General features: G+C 36.9%; 1 long non-coding RNA gene across 1 annotated transcript in view; it reads right to left on the bottom strand.

The window, feature by feature from the left end:
- LOC124902889 (uncharacterized) overlaps positions 1 to 10,307 on the bottom strand; it is a 38,516-nt gene extending 28,209 nt beyond the window's left edge. The window contains exon 1 of the long non-coding RNA XR_007063232.1: positions 10,230 to 10,307. This is a non-coding gene — a long non-coding RNA (uncharacterized LOC124902889). The remainder of the gene's footprint in view (positions 1 to 10,229) is intronic.
- Between the last annotated feature and the right edge of the window lie 10,218 nt (positions 10,308 to 20,525).

The raw sequence follows: 20,525 nt of genomic DNA, 5'->3' as shown, positions 1-20,525 counted from the left end.
CAGGTGCAGTGGCTCATGCCTGTAATCCCAGCTACCTGGGAGGCTGAGGCAGAAGGATCGCTTGAACCCAGGAGGCGGAGGTTGCATTAAGCCGAGATCACACCACTGTACTCCAGCCTGGGAGAAAGTATGAGACTCTGTCTCAAAAATAATAATAATAATAAAAGAGATGTAAATGCAATAGAATGCATCCATCTAATTCCCTGTCAAGGGAGATCAGATGGGTTTTAATCTGTGCCCCAACATATGTATACACACATACTCATTGCTACCAATGTTAGTTTTTCCAAGTTTAGTAAATGATGTTGATGGCAGTGGAGGCTTGTCTGGAGCAGCCACTGTGAAGATGCTGCTACAGCAGTGGAGGTGCATTCAGGGCTGCTTGCTCCATGGAGTCAGCAGGGGCCGGGAACAGGTGGGAGCCCCGTCATCTACTAAGTCAGCAGGGCAGGAGCCCTGCACCTGCGGGTGCAGCTGCAGCCGCCCAGCCAGGGCTTTGGACCCAGACATTCCTGCACTCTCAGGGGCCCAGGGAGCTCCTTGCTCCTTGGGTTTGAAAGTGCCTGCTCCCACTGCCTGGTCTCTTCCTGCTTCCACAGCTTGCTCCTGGGTAGAACAAAGTTGTGGCAGAGGCTTGGCACTATTGCATCCCAGCCAGCTGTGCAGATTCAGGGCAGCCTGACACACTAGCCCTCTGCCACTTTGGTCCCCTCCAGACTGCTGATGAGTGGAGGGAGGCTGGTAGGGGGCGGGGGGAGGCTGAGGGTGGCTCGCACAGGCCGGCAGATGCTCCTCAGCACGAATAGCCTGGGCACCACGGATGGCATATTGACAGCAGGAGGCAGACATGTTCCTGGGTGGAACGGGGCAGGTCCCTGGTAAAGTCCCACCTTCAAGCCAGGGAATGCCTGAAGCCTGTGGACTGGGCTGGCAGTTCCAGGCAGTCTGATGCCGATAGTGAGAACTTCACTGAAGACCATTCGGCCAACTGGATAGTGTGTTTTCCAGGCCCACTCATGGCCACCCATGGACAAATTAGCACTGACTTTCACTCTTCTGAGCCCATAAAATTTTCCGGACTCAGTCAGACTCAAATAGATGTTGGGTGGACCTGCCTGCAGAAAGGAGCTACCCACTTCCAGTCTCCTGAGAGCTGTTCTGTTGCTCAGTGAAGCTCCTCTCCACCTTGCTTACCCTCCAGTTGTCTGCATACCTCATTCTTCCTAGACGCTGGACAAGAACTTGGCACTACAACCTGCTGAATGGCGGGAGTCAAAGAGCAGTAACATAATCAGGGCTGAAACATGACCCCCAACCCTCGCCATGCTGCAGGCAATGAGAAGAAGAGAAGAGTTGCAGCCCTAGGGGCTCCCCGAGCCAGGGCCGTAACACCCTCTTTGGGGCTCTGAAGTTTCTGGTGTCTCTGAGCTTTCGAGTGCTGCCCTGTTCCCCGTGTCCAGATGCTGGTGCCCACAGTGGAAGCCACGTGTGGTATGTCTCGTCCAGCTACAGCCTCAAACACAGCCTGCACCTATACCTATACCAGTGCCTGGAGCTGAGCACCCTGCTGCAGAAGGTGATGTGCCTGGCTGTGTGCAGCGGCCAGACCCCGCACTCGCTGGCTCACACACCCCTGGATACTCTGCACCTGGCTCAGGCTAGGCAGGTATGAGATCCAGGCCAGTAGCACAGGGCAAGTGCAGCCTGCCTGGCTGAGTAAACAGAATGAGCCTAGAGGGCATGAGCAGTACTCAGGCAAAAGGAGCTGACATTAAGAGGTTTCTGGCTGGCAAAGCGACACCCCAAAAAATTCCGCATCAATGTTTGGGGATTGAGTGACATGGTGATGTTTGGGTTGTAGGTAGCTAGCTTTTGAAGCATCAGCTTGCCATGATAGCTCCAACAGTGAGCTGCAGCCCTGAAATACCTCGCTTAAGCCTACTCTCTCCCTCCTATACCTGTCTCAGCCTCAGCAGTATTAAGTACTTGTTTACTCAGTAGCTCAGAAATTTTCAGATATAAGATGGTGAATATTCCCAAATTATCGAGAGACATCCCCAGTTTTAGGAGTGATTCTCTTGAGGCTTTTTTCATACTCTCAGAAGAAAATGTACTCAAGAAGTAGTCTTTATTTATTAACACTACTCTACCCACCCAAATGCATATTCCTTTCTCTTATCCAGTTGATAGTGACATACTGATTGGCCTAAAATCGTTCTCTCAGCCCCAGCAGCTCACGGTTCCTTGACGGTAGATTGTTGAAATCTTTATTGATTATTACAGTCAACAAAGATTTATTAAAGCCTACTGTGTGCTGACCCCTGCTAGCAGATACTAGGCTAATCACAGTGAACACAGCAGATAAAATGTCTCATCCAGTGGAACTTAAAGCTTTGAGCTTTAGCAAGCAATGCTTATCAAAGTTATCGCACCTAGAAGTATGCTACTGCACCAGTGCCTAGCATTTGGTTGGTTGCATAATTAATAATGAATAATAATCTGTGCAATGAAAACAGGCAAATTACCTGATATCCAGAGGGAATTAAATATACATAGTTTTTCTTATTCTTGTTTTGTTTTTTTTTTTTTAGATTTTAACTTACATGAACTTGCCCACTTTTTAACTGAGTTGCAATTTTTACTTAAAATGACCCATTTTAAAGCTCTAATAAACATACTTGTTATAAAAATCTAGATTAGGCTGAAATAACACACAACTCATGTTTTAGTTGCTTGAATCATTATAACAAACAAACTTGCTTAAGTCACAGTCAGTATGGAATTAAAAACGCTGATATACGGAAGGTTGCCAGTCAGGGCACCAGGACAAAGAGAAAGTTGAGAAGCCTCCAACCAGCAATTTAATGCTACACCCTATCTGTCCATAGCCAACTGGAAAGAACTAGTCACATGGTCCATCAATTTGCCAAGAAAGCAAGGAATTATAATATTCTCATTTACCAAAAAACTGCATTATTAAAAAATAATTAAATACCAAAGAGGCAAACCACTGCCCCGAAGTTTTGTTGTTGTTATTGTTGTTTTGTTTTGTTTTTCGGAGATAGAATCTTGCTTGGTTGCCCAGGCTGGAGTACAGTGGTGGTGTGATCGCAGCCTACTGCAATCTTGAACTCCTGGACTCAAATGTTCCTCGTATCTCAGACTTCTAAGTAGCTTGGACTATAGGCATATGTTCCAAGTTCTAATGGTGGCCTTCAGTCCCTCAGGGACCTTTTCCGAAGGCTTCTGACAGTCTTATGATCTACTCTGTGATGTCAGAAAATTAAAAGTTAAAAATCTGGCACTTTCATGTAATATTAAAAAACAAAACCCTTTGCTCAAACCATTTTTTATCTGAATTAAAAATTTGTTGGGCAGAATACAAGGTATTATTTGAAAATAATAGGGTTGCTAAAAATTCATGTAAGTAGGAAGCAACTTAAGACAGCATTTCTTATTCTGAGAATTATTAGTATGTCTGGCTGTATAATTTCTTCGTTGTGGGGGCATTCTTGTGTTTATAGCATCCCTGTCCTCTACCCATTAGTTGTCAGTAGCACCTCACTCAAGTTGGGTCAATTAAAAACATATCTAAATATTTTCCCTTGGCAGGGCAAATTTCCAGGCAACAAAATTAACTCTTGTTGAGAACTAGTGACCTAGAAGAACTTATTAGAAGTCTAATGACCCTCTTATGACTTTGTGTTGTAAACTGGTAATCCCACGGAATGAATGTCTCCGGGGCTTTCATCCTAGAAGAATCTCATCCCTGAAGAATTTCTTGTGCTATTTTTTCTGGATCTCTTCCCCTCTACTTCAGCAGTAGATATTAGGTGAACATGCTATCCTCACAACTGGTTTTAATTTCTTGAACTAGTATAGTGCATGTATTTTTTTTTTTTTTTTTGCCCTTAAGAAACACACAGTGGTTTCCATTCCTTGCAGAAGCCTAGATGGCTCCTGCATTGGAAGAAATCAGGAAGGGAGAAGATTGAGAAGAAGAACTTTTTAGTGAGTCTTATTTAAGCTGAAAAGAAAAGAAATCTTGACCTCAACTCTCTTAAACCTTATAGAAGTTTCTGATCTTTGAAAGCAGAAATTCCAGATGTAGGGCAAGCTTCCATATTGGTACATTGGTTCCATAGTGTCAAAAGCCCTGCATTCTTTTCATTTTTCCAGTCTGACATTCATAAGATGTCACTGGGAATTGGTGCCTACATTAATTTTAGGTGTTATGACTTTCACAGATCCAAAGCAAGAATAGAGACTGTCTCTCTGTGGTTCTCTGTTAGAAATAAGAAAACATTTCCGAGAATAGAGGCCACTAGAAAGAAGATTAGGAAACCAAGTTTATTCCAAGTTACCCCAAGTCTTGGGGTAAATGAATTAAAAACTCTGGGCTTCAATTTTCACATCTATTAGGTAAAGAGATTAGATCAAATGATATTATGAAAGCCCTACTCACTTTAAAACATTTTTCACCTATGTGAATACTGCTTGCTTTCTTTAGTTTAAATATATGATTGGAATCATCTGAAAGCTAAATAGTAATGTATTAAAGTGAGTTCACTTTCGCATTGCAGGAAGAAATTAGTTTCTTTTGAGATGACTTCATTGTTGAGTTTTTTCTTACTTTCCTCTGTAAAGTGAATGGTTACAAGAGCCTGGAGTTGTTGCTGAGAGGAGGGAGAGAATTTCCTTTGAGTACTTCTAAGGTCCCGGAGGCACTACCCATCTCCAGCTCGTCCAATCAATAGCCAGTTAGAACTGAGGAGAAACAGTGTGTAAAAATTATGAAATCGATCTGTCGTGCCCCACTTGGGCCATTATTCAGTCTCTGCACTTCCGAGGTTGTGAAGGGACCACTCAGGTTAATGGAAACACAGTGGCAGACCTGATCCTGTGTTTTCTCATTTCTCCTCTCTTGCCCTGGAGTGAATGCATGGGTCTAAGGGAGTCAGAGAGGCCAGGCAAATCATGATGGAAATTCCCATCGAGACACTGTTCGAAATTCATCAACACTAATAATGACATCTATTCACTCTACTAGTAGAAAAGAAACAATTTGGGAAAGTGAGAGGGAATTTTATCCTACAGAGACAAATAATGTAGTATGCATATCCAAAAATAGGAAGGGCATTAATTAATGGATAACCTACCTCAGCAAACATCTGTAAATTGAGATTACAATTGTTTGTCATGAAGTATAATTACTGATATTTTTGAGGTACTTGAATATTACTTGTTCTTAAATGGTCCATCTAGAAAAGCAGGCATGTTAATGCAAACATTTGGCACTTTTTAATGATTACTGAGGTTCATTTGTAGTTTTGTACAAATATTGAATACCATGATGGAATGGAGAGAGTTTTGTAAGTAAATAGATTTTAATATTAATCAGTTTTATAACGTTTAACAAGTAATTTAAAGATCGTAAGGTTTTTTCTTAAAGTTAAGTGGTTAATGTAGGCTCTATGATCTTTTATGGATATAAAATTCTTAAACTACGATTATTTGATTTGCATTTAAAAGGAAAGCTCATTGTGCCATTTATCTCTACTATTAGGCATAATAAAACCTCAATTAATTCACATTGTTTTGAGGCCTGCAAGTCAAAAGAGTGAGGTGAAATTTAAAACTGTTTTTAATTTATCTTACTGTAAAGCACAAAGTAGTTTTTTTAAAACCTTCTTATCAATAATTTTAAAAAGAAAATGCAAAGTTCATAAAATTTCCTTTAGGGTTTCAAACAGAATCTGATCAAAGTAATCATCTAAACTTCAGTTGAATGAAGAAAAAAATGAAGATAAAGAATAAAATATGAGTCACCATATGTTAAAATAAATTTATCTTAGCCTCAGTTTCTGCTGAGGCCACAAGATGATTGATGTCAACATTCTAAAGTGAGGTGAGAGACAATCATGCAAAAGGCAGTTTAGAGAAATGGATTTCTAACTCTTAGCTCCTTGCTCACAATAAGGGCATAAAACTGGCAGGGTTTTGATTAGACAGGGATTTCTTTAGAGAATGCTGTCTGTGAGATGGAGGATGGTGCTTCTTACTCTACAGTTGCACTGAAACTTTAAGAAGACTACTTAGCTTAACGAGTCTCCTGTAGCTTGATAGGCACAGTGGACAGTGTCTGACTCATACTTAAGAAATCTGAAGCAATAAAGATCAGGTATCTAGCTACCCTGACAGCAGAGGGATTAACAGGTACTTTTTGAGATTATATATATGCATACATGTATATCATATAAATTATGTATAACTTAATTTACTCTGTGTATGTATATACATTATGTATAATATATTGTAATTATTATTATTAAAGTATCATTTTGTGGCTCAGATAACCATTGTAACATGATATGTCCTAGTGTTATTTGTAAAAGACTATTTATTTTGTGTTTGCTACACATGGGCCTGGGAGTAAGGATGGCTTAAATACTCAAAATCGAAGTTATGGTTTTCTCTCAAGGAACTTCCTATTGACTATGAAGAAGAGCAAATGTGATTTTTTAATAAATACTTTAATGACCAATGTTTAGGAAATTCTGTCACATAATGGGTGATTCTCCTTTAAGAGGCGGAGAAACTGAGCAAAAACATTTATGAAACAATAATCAATAACATTAAAATTGAATTTGTCTGAAAACAGATTGCACTTTGTCCTGGAGTATCATAAGAATAAACTTTTTAATGTTTGTAGCATGGCTGGCTGGCTGGCTGAATATCTTGTGGTTGGTGACTTCAGAACAGGAGACAGGAAAGCACTAGAAGGGTCTGTGTCATTCTTGACCTGATTAATTCTTTAAGGATTATAATATGACTTCTATTAATATTTGTATTCTAAAATTTGTTTGGACAAAATTTGGAAAGCTTCGAGATATTTAGCTTTTTCTTTCTTTTCTTTGGTTAATGCTCAGATATGGGATACTGGCTCCTAACTGTATTTGAACTTGAACTCACACTTCAATATGCATGCGATATCAAGCTGCTTACAGTTTCTCAAGAGTACCATATGCTTTTTACATCCATATCTATGTATGTGACCTACTTCTGGGTCTTTCTCCAGATCTTCATGGAGACATATTTTATTTCCAAAACTCAGCTTTTTGAAGATATTCTGATACCTTCATCCCCCATATAATTTATATTTTCAAATCTCTTTTTACTCTTAAACAACATCACATTTTTGCATTTATCTTTCCCTACAAAAAGTTTTTAAGTAGACTTAGCTTGTTTGGTTTTGTTTTGCTGTTGTTGTTTTGTTTTTACCTTCTCTATCACACCACCAATTTGATTTTCATAACACGGCAGATATTTAAAAATTATTTGCTGAACTGAATTAAACTAAGAAAAGTTAAGATTATTTTGCTTGTTATATTATCTTGAGACTCCATTTATGTAAAACTTTCCCTTTCAAAAATTATATATCATATATAATAGGTATTCTGTATTCTGGTTTAAAAATGATGATAATTACATACTTTCATTAGAAATTCATTTCTTATATACCTTTTTTTCTCAATTATGTAGTGACAACTTTATGCCAACATATTTTGAGAAATGTCCATAAGCATTATTTCCTTTACCTATAAATCCAACGATTGGGAGGTTAAGAAAATCAGTGAATAAATTGGAATTCTGGTTCTTCAACCAGATGTTGTCACTCTCTTGCCACTTCCTCCAACATAACATGGTAGTATAGCTACCATTTCAGCTTTCAACTGTATCTACTAGAAAACAATTCTGGAAAAAAAATGCTTCTGTTTTTTTATATGAAAAATGGCCCTTAACCCATTGCAGTTAGGCTTCCATCCAAATGCTGCCTCCAAGAATCTTTCCCTGAAGTCATCGGGCTTCCTTCCATGTTGTCAAATTCAGTGTTTCCTTTCTGGCAGCATTTAACACAGACAGGAACTGCAGCCTCTTAACTTTTCTCCTACCTGCATAGGAGGCTTTAACGTAATCTTCTTTGTAAAATCCTCTTCCTCTGGTTGTCTTCTAACTGTTGGAACCCGAAAAGCTTTGTCTGAATTGGACCCTTTTCTCTCTCTATGCGTACTCTCCGAGAACCTAAAGTTCCATGGCTGTGGTGGCATCTGCGGGCCAGTGACTTCCAAATCTATACCTTTTGACTTGACTTCTCATTAGAACAGCAGACTTGTACATCAAGGCCTGCTCTAATACTTTTATGTAGATATCTACTAAAATTTATCTCAAATTTTACTTGGCTCCCATTAACTTTTAATTCTTAACTTGCAAACTGGTTCCTTGTGTTTTTCACAATTGTTTAATGAAAATACCGAAATTATTGTACAATCATTCTTCATCCCTCTCTTTCCTTCATTTTCTCTCCCTCAAATCTCCATCCCATCTTCAAGGTTTGTTCACTTAACTCTCCAAAATATATTTCATGCCTGATGACACAATTGTTTTTTTCTTCTCCCAAAGTACCGCCCTTCTCCAAGTCAATGTTACTTCTCATCTAGGACTGCATCATTAGCCTTGATTTCCCTTTGCTACCAAACCCCATTGCCCCCAGGTATTTAACACAGAAGGTAAAACAATCTTACACAAAATAAGACATTTCATTGTCTTGCTCAGTACCATTCAACGTGTTAGCTTCTGTGTGTACAGTAAACCTTGCCTTACAATTAACAGTATCCTTGCCTTACAAAGCTATACCACACCCAGATCTTGTATCATCTTGAGATATTTTTCCTCCTAAAACTATACTTCAGGCAGACTGGTCTTCTTCCTCTTTGAGTATATTAGGCTTGTTCTGCCCTCAGGACCTTTTCATTAGTCTTTCTTCTGCCTGTAATAATCTTCTGCCTGAATTTCACATAACTTTATCTTAGACTAAATATCATCTCCTCAGAGAGGAGCTCTTTGACTACCCAATCTAAGGTAGCCCACTATCACACCACTGAATCTTAATTCCCTGCCTATCTCTAAATAATGTGGTATGTTGGACATACTTTCATGACTCTCCTCTGAATTGTTGTTTGCTTTTCTTTTCTGCCTATTCCCTTTTAAATAGATATACCTGAGATTAGGGACTTTATTTTATTCAGTGCTCTACAATCCAGATATAGAATAGTGTTTTTTCCATAGTAAAAGTTTATTAAGTACCAGATAACTAAAAAAATTATAAATATATCTTTGGGACAGTCATGCTTTATATTTTAGTAAAGGTTGATTTTTAAAATGAGTTTAAGCTATATGATATATATATTATATATCACATATAATGTGATATATATTATGTATCACATCATATAAATGTGATATATAGTATATAAGGTGATATATATCACATTAAAATATATGTCACATTATATATTATATTATATATATCACATTATTATATTATATATATCACATTATATATTATATATCACATTATATATTATATATCACATTAAAATGTATAGATATGAAATATATATAATATATACACATAACATTTCTCAACTTTCATCTGAAAATTAGAGTAATTTTTTCCCCAAAATGCTTGGAGCTAACCATCTTTATCAGCACAGGCTGTGTATTGTAACAAATTGTATATCTGATTTGAAACGATGCTTTATATATAAATGTGAATCTATATTTTTAATTCATCTTAAAGCCACTTGCAAAAGTCCCCAATTTCATGAACAGGTAAGCCTATCTAGTAGTTAACATGGAGATTTTGGGGATTCAACTTACCTTGCATTTTACCTCTTTGTGTGACCCTCAGTGGTTGACTTTATCAAACTTTTTTGTTTTTCCTACTCATAGTTAAATTTAAAAACCCCAATAAAAGCATTGAGACATGCCGGCTGCTTTTTTTCATATCTTAAATAAATAACATGCACATAAATATCTTTTTTTTAGTCTGCTTTTACTTTTAAATGTAATTAAAATAATTTTTATTAAGTGCCTGAGAGGGACACTGGAGAAGGCAAAGATTAATTTAGAAAATCAATCCTTAAAATAAAATTTGTAAAGTTTATGTAACCCAGGTACCTGTGGAAGAAACAATTTGTTCATTATTGACTATTTTCTCATCTCTCATAACGGAACTTTCTACTTTTAGTTGGACACCACCATTTCTGCCACATTTCCTTAGGAGAAATGATGTGTGCAAGTCCTGTCCCTTAGGAGATGAGCTTTCAATCCTCTGACTCTCCTCCCCACTCCTCTTTGGCCAGCAAATGAAGAAACTGGAGCTTTACCTTTAAATTAGAAGATGGAAACCATGTGTGGAAGATAGCAGAACTCCCCAGCAGAACAGACTCCTTACCTCTTACACTAGAGAGAAATAAAATTTTTATCTTAATTAAGACATTTTGCTTTGAATCATTTTGTTACAGGTGTTTGGACTGTACTCTAAATAACACCATTCCCCCAAAAATATATGAGTTCTTTTTGGCATGTCAAGTTTCAAATATGTGAGTATAAATTGAATTTTAGAACAACGTCAGTAAGTTGGATATTGCCTATAATATTTTATTATTTTTTAGGATAAAAAGTAATGCCAAATGAGAACAGGATATGGCTGCAAATCAGCATCAGGGATATTTTTTGGGGTAATGAAAATGGTCTAAAATTGGATTATGATGCTGGTTGCACAATTCCTGTAAGTTTACTAAAAATTGTACACTTAAAATGGGTAAATTCTGGATATTAGCCCTTTGTCAGATGAGTAGGTTGCGAAAATTCCAGAATCTACAATGAACTCAAACAAATTTACAAGAAAAAAACAAACAACCCCATCAAAAAGTGGGCGAAGGACATGAACAGACACTTCTCAAAAGAAGACATTTATGCAGCCAAAAACACATGAAAAAATGCTCATCATCACTGGCCATCAGAGAAATGCAAATCAAAACCACTATGAGATACCATCTCACACCAGTTAGAATGGCAATCATTACAAAGTCAGGAAACAACAGGTGCTGGAGAGGATGTGGAGAAACAGGAAAACTTTTACACTGTTGGTGGGACTGTAAACTAGTTCAACCATTGTGGAAGTCAGTGTGGCGATTCCTCAGGGATCTAGAACTAGAAATACCATTTGACCCAGCCATCCCATTACTGGGTATATACCCAAAGGACTATAAATCATGCTGCTATAAAGACACATGCACACGTATGTTTATTGTGGCATTATTCACAATAGCAAAGACTTGGAACCAACCCAAATGTCCAACAATGATAGACTGGATTAAGAAAATGTGGAACATATACACCATGGAATACTATGCAGCCATAAAAAATGATGAGTTCATGTCCTTTGTAGGGACATGGATGAAATTGGAAATCATCATTCTCAGTAAACTATCGCAAGAACAAAAAACCAAACACCGCATATTCTCACTCATAGGTGGGAATTGAATAATGAGATCACATGGACACAGGAAGGGGAATATCACACTCTGGGGACTGTGGCGGGGTGGGGGGAGGGGGGAGGGATAGCATTGGGAGATATATCTAATGCTAGATGACGAGTTAGTGGGTGCAGCGCACCAGCACGGCACATGTATACATATGTAACTAACCTGCACAATGTGCACATGTACCCTAAAACTTAAAGTATAATAAAAAAAAAAGAAAAGAAAAAAAAAGAAAATAAAATGGGTAAATTCTTTTATGTAAAGTATACCTAAATAAAACTTAAAAGAAAAATATTGTGCTGATATACTAATAAAAAGAAGCAAGTGACGTATTAAGTAGCTTTCTGGTTTATTTTGTTTTATCTAAGTATATTATTATTTCAAGGTCTTTTCCTGCTGTTAATATATTTTAAAATCAGGAAAGAGCTATAAAGTCAAAATTGGGGATACCTTTTCCACAGATAACAAAACTTATTCACCTTCTTTTGGATTTTTTTGGGGGGTAAAAGCTACTTTTTCTATTATGCATGCAATTCTACCATATAACTATATTTACTCACTCAAAGACTGCCTGCAATGATTTGGATAAACCAAGTAGCATTAATTCCTGTATAAGTCTGTTAGACTGGATACATTTGGAGAAATAATAACACTAGTATAGCTTAGGAACAGCAATATGTAATAGAACAGTATGAGAGGAACAAATGTCTTAAAGATAAATTTAATTCTACCTTCAAACAATATTGTTTTATATGGATTAGTTGTGCATTGTAAACTAGTTAAAAATTTGACAATCCGGTATAAGTTGGATGTCTCTAAGTACATCCTTCAGGTAGGCCATAAAGCAAGAAGAATTTCAAACACATATTCTGTTTAGTCTCTCATATATATATATATATATATATATGTAGTGTCACAACTAGTACTGTTATCTTCAAGCACAATGATTTCTCATATCTTCCAAACCCATCCATATGCTTCCACTGAAGCCTGTAATTTTATGATAATTCTACTTCACACATTATACAGTAATAATTTGCCTATTCATCTATTTTTTATTATTATTTTTTTTGAGACAGTTTTGCTCTTGTTGCCCAGGCTGGAGTGCAATGGCACAATCTTGGCTCACCGCAACCTCTGCCTCCCGGGTTCAAGCGATTCTCCTCCTCCTTCAGTAGCTGGGATTACAGGCATGCGCCACCATGCTCGACTAATTTTTGTATTTTTAGTAGAGACGGGGTTTCACCATGTCGGCCAGGCTAGTCTCGAACTCCTGACCTCAGGTGACCCACCTGTCTCGGCCTCCCAAAGTGCTGGGATTACAGGTGTGAGCCACCATGCCTGGCTTCATCTATGTTTAATGTATTATGAGTTCCTAAAAGAGGATAAATAAATATTTTTAAAACATTGAAGCCCCTTCTTTACAGGTGCATGACACATAATACGCACTTGATAAATTCTTATTGATGTTAATGAATTTTCAAGATCTAGAAGCAGAAATTAGCACTGCTAAAAAATGGACAGCCCATCTGTAACTGAACTGAATTTGCCTTAAATGCACACAACCTGCTCCCCAATATTAAGATTTTTTTTCAGATTTCAAAAGAAATATTAAGACTTTTAAAAACTATATGTGTGAAGATAACTACATCTTAAAGAAATAAGTTAAACAATGAATCTCATTCCTGGAGATATATCCAGGTTCTAAATTTGCTTTGAAAGAATGAAGAAAGTCAAGAAAATACTGATTTTGACTTGTCAGGTGTCATATAATCTTAATATTTCTAAATGCCTCTAAATGAACATCTAGATTTGATTCAGTTACAAACAGAAGCATTTCTAAATGTCTGCTGTAATATTTTAATATTTCTATTCTTATTTCATTAAGAATCATGTTTCCTTGCTTTCCTTGATTTTAAAAACTTGAAATATATTAACTGCACAAGATATTTGAAACACATTTACGCGTGTGTCTGTGTGCATGTGTGTGCACACGTGTGTGCATATCACTTTCCTTATTTGCAAAGCAAGTGCTTTGTTCTTAGTGAAAGTAAGAGACAGAGTGTGGATAATTCAGCGAATAAGATGATAGAAAGCAGTTATTGGCGATGGGTCAGTAGCATCATCCATTACAATGAAGAATAGAATTTTTATCAAAGTTCCTTGTCTTAGGGTAGCACTTCAAGAGTAAATCATATCACTGATTATAGTCTATAAAAAGATTTTGGAGGCTTCTAATGGAAGTAATTATTTTTTCCTGGTTCTTCTGTATAACAGAATTCAGACATACAGATTATCAATCATATTAACTTAGAAATAATATATGTTAAGTTATAACTCTTGATCATGTCACATGAAGTCTACATCATCAATTATAGACTATTGGAAAGATTTTCTTGCTGTTATAAAAGTCAATATTACATTACAGAAAAAAATTTATCTTCATTGGCAATAAGTTACAATATTTACAAATAATACATTTTATCTACGTAGCAATTCATTTTAACCACATAATATTTTAACTACATAATGTGACCTGGGACCCCAGGAAATTAGAAATGTCTTATAACCTTGGATTATTCAGAACAGGTAACTGAATACAGTATTTTTTTCCATTTTCTTAACTTTATGGGGCTGCTTTTTAGTCGGACTCTTAGTAAAGTCTAAGATTCGCCCAACAAAAGGACAGTCTCCTAAATGCCCATGGTTGATATCAAGCTACCCAGACCCTATAGATACTTGTATGTAAAAGGAGTTAACTTCAGTTCCTAAGAAATATGTAATTGACCAAAAAATGTTCTAAGAAATAAAATGGATACAGGAGTGCTGAAGAACATAGCCTTACTTTGAGATCAGTAACAACCAGTTGAAAGAATTTTTCACTTTCCTGTCAGCTTCTGTAGCATTGTGAGGATACTGCCTTGGGCTATGCAGGTAGCCTTGAGGTGATGAGAATTTTTAAGAACACTATTTGAACATCAAATATCATTGAAACACTTCATGCCAACTAACTAGAATTGATGCTTAAAAATATAAAATAGACGATAGCTAACCGTAATCAACTTAAATTGTGCCCAGCTGTTGTCGACTGAAAAATGAATTTGAGGTTAGACTAACAGAATACATGCTAGTTCCAAATTTTTATTTTCAAAGGCCATTTATATGAAAGTGCCAGCCTCCATCAGTTGGGGCACTTCAGATAAAGTATTTTATATGTAATGTACATTATAGTCAAGCCATTTGATCTTGCAAATAGTGACTACATTGATCCTTGGAGAATACGGCTGTAAAGCTGAAAGCAATACTCAAAAAAGTTTCACAGCATAGATTTTTAACTTTTCCTCAAGTTGAAACTCAGTATGAAGTAAGTTTTTGCAACTGAAGATACAAAAAGAAATGACAAACCCTAGTGAAATATATATAAATAAACGCCCTTTAATAGTAATGAACACCCCTCCTAAGAGAGACAATTTTCTACCCAGCTTAGTAACTGATGTGTGAGATAAACAGTGGAAAATTGGGGCAGTAAGGCACAGGGAAGTATGGGTTTATTTGTCTCACAAGAGTTGAATCATACTTACTAGCTAGCTACTTGTGAATGATTAATGAAATAGAAGGAAAAAACACAGAGAGAAACAAAAAAGAGAAGAAAAAAAGGGGAAAATGCCCTTCGTTCCTCAGATAAGAGAGAGAAAAAACAGCAGTACCCATTGCCCAGAACAATATTATTTGAAAGTTTCTCAGCATCCAAAAGTCAAACTCAAGAGGCCAATGCTTATTTATTTACAGAATTTCACTATTTAAATGACTTGTCTTCTTTTTTGAACTTGAGAGATATTTGTTGCAAACTAAGGAAAAACATTTTTTTCAGTCTAAAATATCAAACTACTCTTGATGTTGTTTTCCCCTGCAGAAATTAAAGAAATTTGACAAAGTTTTGTTGCAACACTGAAAATTTAGATTTGAAAATTCAACACTACAGATGTAATCACAGCCAGACACTAATTAAGCATCAGGCCAAATTTGGTCCTAGAAATGTGTATGCATAATGTTTGACTTTAGTGGAAGTCTTCTGTGTGTTTTCAAGGGCAGACTTTGGTCAAAGGCTTATTGAAGGAACTAGGAATAAAATGCTTCTAAAGAAATATGGCACCTTTGTTTAATAATATTTACCTATATGCAAATCTTTTCTTTTAAATTTAGATATATTATGAGTAAAATTGCGGCCACTTTCTGACATTTCCCATATTCACTGAAAGACAAATGCTCTTTATCATCTTCAGTTGTTTTATTATTGTGTATAAGAGAAAGGATAGAAAATCTTCTCCATGAAAGCTTTCATTTTCAAATTGTTAGCATTTCTAGGATTGTCTCAGGATAGATTTTGGGTGATATGGGAATATTTGGGAGGAAGGAGGGCATTCTCATTCTGCAAGTTTGCTGGGAAACCACCCCATGGAAGTTGCCCCAAATACGGAATATTTTGTTTTTCTCTGTGGCTTTTAACTTACCTTAGTATTTGGCAGCATAAAGGGGGAAAAAGCTTATTTTAAATTGTGTCAGGATATGATGTGAGATGTGTCTCTGCTTGAGTCTTATTTATTTTCTGATAGAAAGATTTTAGCGCAACGTATAATAGAATTCTTGTTTCTGAATCTGAGCCAAGGGACACTTTCTATACGAGTTGCTCGGTGAACTCTGAGACAAATATGAGCAGTTGGACTGAACTTGAAAGCCACATGCTCATTATTATTAATGAACTTCAGCAAGTTTCCTCACTTCTCTAGGCCTCATTTCCTTTCTTTATAAAATAAAGATAACAGTTATTTATAGCATTACTGGAATAACCAAAACAGTAACAAAAAATGCATGCTAAGTGCCTAGTGTCAAACATGTAATAGGTTTTCAATTATCCTCACTGTTTTTGTTTCTCATTCATGTTGTTGTAACTGATGCATCATTGTTGTGGCTCTCCTTCTCCTTCCTCTTCCTCTTCTGATGATGACAATGAAAATAATCTAGGGTCCACAGATTACATAACTTGTATAGTGCTTTGTGTATTTTGATACAGACATCACAAAGAATTAAAAAGTCACGTGCATTGCCTAACATCTTTAGCAATATCATAAGAAAGTCAAATAAATTTTAGAAATTCTAATAAACCACGTATAATCTTTTTAAATTTAATATTTCTTTTACATGTCAGGATTTTTAAAACCTGTAGCCAGTGAATTCACAGTTCCTGGTTTCTGCCACATTTTCTTTTGCATTGAGAGAGGAATAGTCATTCAGATTTCCCTGAATCTCAGACGGCCAGGTAATATGTTTTCTGTAAAACTCCTGTGAAAAGTTTCTTTTAAAAAAATCACTCTTTCTCAGGAGGACTAATAGTGAATAAAAGATTCCACAGCAAAAGATATTGGGTAGAGCAGCAAGTTGTATCCAAAATAAAAGTTATACCCAGACATTTTTGAAGTTATGATTACTCGGTGCTGAAATGGCTTCAAGTGATGAAGGACTGAGCCCTCTCCTTTTCTACAGAAGACATTTCTGACTGGTTAATTGTTGTTTCCTATTATTTTACCTTTATTTTCTGATAGTTTTCAGTACCCACACTACCACAAACATCATCATGCCTAGTACTGTCTGGCTAGAGAAGAGACTATGATTTTTTCTTTTTCTTTCTATTAAGCATTCTCACAGTGTATACCACAGAGTGAAAGTCAGAACCTGAAACCAACATTTAAAGACAATAGTCATTATATACTTGGCCATGGTCACCTATCATGAACATTCACCAAAAAGAACAACCTTTGGACTATACTATAACAATTTAATAAGGTAAACCCTATTCTTGTTCTGGGTCAGTCAAGTAATTCATCAAAAGAATGCATTTGTAAATTTATATTCCAAAAGGACAGCATAACAGAGAAACAGAGAAAAAAAATTTGTCAATGAGATACCCTATATTCTAAGTCAACTCTGTTCGTTACAACTAATCAGTTCAAAATTAATTTGGGGTATAACCTACATAGCCATGACTATATGCTATTTTTCTTTAAACTAGTTCTTTCCTATTTAGAAAATCAAAAGAAAAGGCAGTTATGATGTGCAAAGTTAAGCGGTTCTCTATTGCCAAGGTAAAATTTAAAATTATGTTAATCACCAGCAGTTATTAATTAAACTATTGCTCATTGGACCTTAACTCCAACTTTTACTCCATGTCTATAATATCACTTATTTTCTGTTAATGTTATAACCCTGGTAATTCTGAAAGATAAAGCAAGTGCCTGGCTCTATCCCTAAATGTCAACCGTTTAAGTGGTTTGACTTTTATTTTCTATTTACTTTGGTCAGTGTAAATTTCTATGGGTTTTGCTGGTTGGGGGAAAGGGGATTTGAGGATCTGTAGTTCTTGGTTATTAATATTTGACTTTGTTAGTGCTATCTATTTACTATATGACTTTGGAAAAAAAAATCAGATATTCTTTCACAGCCCTTAAAATGCATGGGGAGTGTAATCACACATTGGGCCTGCAATCTCTATATATTGCTGTTCTCTTCAGTCTCACATTTAAGTAACAATGGCTTTTGATCTTTTATATATTTTATTTTCTCACTCCAGTACGTGTTTGTAGAATCAGGAATTCGTAGTTTTTTCCTTAAAACATTATACAGATTATGTATCGTTTTATACAGGAAATGTCACAATATGTCAGAAGCATGGCTAATCTATCCCAGAGTTTTGTTTCAGACTGCACTACCTGTAAGAATGTTGTAAGACTCTGCATGGGAACCTCAATGCCACCATCCTCTGAGCTAATGGCATAGTCTAAATATTCTCTACGTTGAACCCAATTCTACCAATGAGTACTGCAGAGAACAACTCTGGGCAGAGTAAGTAGGATGTTCTCATGGATATTATTTACAAGCTAAGAATCTCTCTTCTTATAGAGGTCTAATTTACCTATGTGGAGTTGGCCATGGGAGGTAGAATGACAGAGCACAGATAAGTAGAGCCAGTGGTACAAATCTGTGGCTCTTCCACTGTTCTGTAGTTCCATTTTACCTGATTTCCCTCAGTGCCAGCCTGCACTTGCTTGGTGATAGAGCCAATTCATAAACCACAGTGCTTAAAAGAAGTTAGCTTTTCCTTGCTCTTCTGAGTGGTATATATTTACTATTTTTCAGTATTTCTTCATCCACAATCAATCTACTTTCTATCTCAGCAAAAATGTCTATTTTAAACATACCCAAACACTTAGTCTGGCTTTTCCAACCACAATCTAGAACTTTTAAGAGCTTTGGGCTTCTTAGTCATAGAGTTCAGCAGCATTCCTAGGTGGGTTGATGTGATCTCCACAAACAGTCCCACCAATCTCCAAGCTTATTCTTTATCAGAGAGGTAAGTAAGAGATAATAATTTACTTCTCAAAGTTCAAAGGATGTCTCTGTTCTCTGTCCCACATAACTTAGCAAAATTTCACAGAATGGGCCAGGATTTATATTTTAATCAGTCAGTCTCAACAGGCTATAAAGCACCACAGCCCTTAACTCTTTGCACTGCTTTCTCTGGGAGAAAATTATCATGATATTATGAATGTAGTTCAGTAAAGTTTTATTATTTTTTTGAGACAATGGCTCACTCTGTCACCCAGGCTGGGGCACACTGGGACAACCAGGGCTCACTGTAGCCTCAATTTCCCAGGCTCAGGTAATTCTCACCTCAGCCTCCAGGCAGATTGCCTGAGTATCTGGCACTACAGGTGCCCACCACCATGCCCAGCTAATTTTTTCCTTTTTTTTCTAGTAGAGACAGGGTTTCACCATGTTGCCCAGGCTACCCTTGAACTCCTGGACTCAAGCGATCCACCTGCCTCAGCCTCCCATAGTGTGCTGGGATTACAGACATGAGCCACCACACCTGGCCATAAAGTATTCTTAATGGTCATCAGGTTCAAGGCTTATCACATTGAATTATGACAGTATGGCTGTAAATTCAAGTATCCACGTGAAAAAAAATATATGTATATGGAACGTTATTCCATAAAAACGCAAATTGTGCCTGGCTGGACCTCAAAATGGGTATGGAAAAAAGTCCTTAGCCAAGTCTTTCATGTTTTTTCAATCACTTGTAACCTGTTGCACACTTCAGGTACTTCTTGCATAGTCTTTACTCTCTTGGGTGTAGCTAAAGAAATAGTGGGGAGCACTTTCTTTGATCCCTAGCAATGCACTCTTAATTTCCATAATCAGTTTGCCTCATGTGCGGGCCAGACAGGCTGTTGAAAAAAAGAGGTTAAGAACACTCACTGTACTTCCTCTACTACCATTTTCTTATTTATTACATCCAATAAGGGCTTGGGCAATTATAAAGGTTCTCCTTTATCATGTCCATTTGAAACCAAGGGAAGGGCTAACTCATGCAAGTGTAGTAAAGGCAGAATCTCTCATTGAGACTCAATATTCATTCCAATTGTGCATGTCAATAACAACAACACAACCCCAGTGTATTAGTCCATTTTCACACTGCTCTAAAGAACTACCTGAGCCTGGGTAGTTTACAAAGAAAAGAGGTTTAATTGGCTTCTGGCTTCTGCTTCTGGGGAGGCCTCAGGAAACTTATCATCATGGTGGAAGGCGAAGGGGAAGCAGGCACATCTTCACATGGTGGAGCAGGAGGGGGTGGGAAGTGGACACACTTTTAAACAACCAGATCTCGTGAGAACTTACTATCATGAGAACAGCAAAGGGGAAGTCCGCCCCCCGATTCAGTCACCTCCCACCAGGGCCCTCCTTCAACACTGGGGATTACAATTTGACATGAGATTTGGGTGGGGGCACAGAGCCAAATCGTATCACCCAGAATATTTAATATTTCTTCTAGTCACATTTTCTAATTTGTAGCATAACTCTCCTATCAGGACATCTCTATATAATCCTGGTTTACCTTTGACCATTTCTTTCTATCCCCCTTGGGAATACCTATACAATGAGAAATTGTATCCAGTGATAGTTTTGCATAAAATTACTGGAATATTTAAAATCAAAAGGCCTTTAATGCCCCACTATGGGTAAGATGAATAGATATCAACCTAGTAGTTTATATTTTTTCAAATCTATAGCTTTAACTGA

Source organism: Homo sapiens, chromosome 12 (assembly GCF_000001405.40).
Source record: "Homo sapiens chromosome 12, GRCh38.p14 Primary Assembly".
NCBI classification, from domain to species: Eukaryota; Metazoa; Chordata; class Mammalia; order Primates; family Hominidae; genus Homo; species Homo sapiens.
Note: the sequence above shows the minus strand (reverse complement) of the source record. Positions and strands in the feature narration are given on the sequence as shown.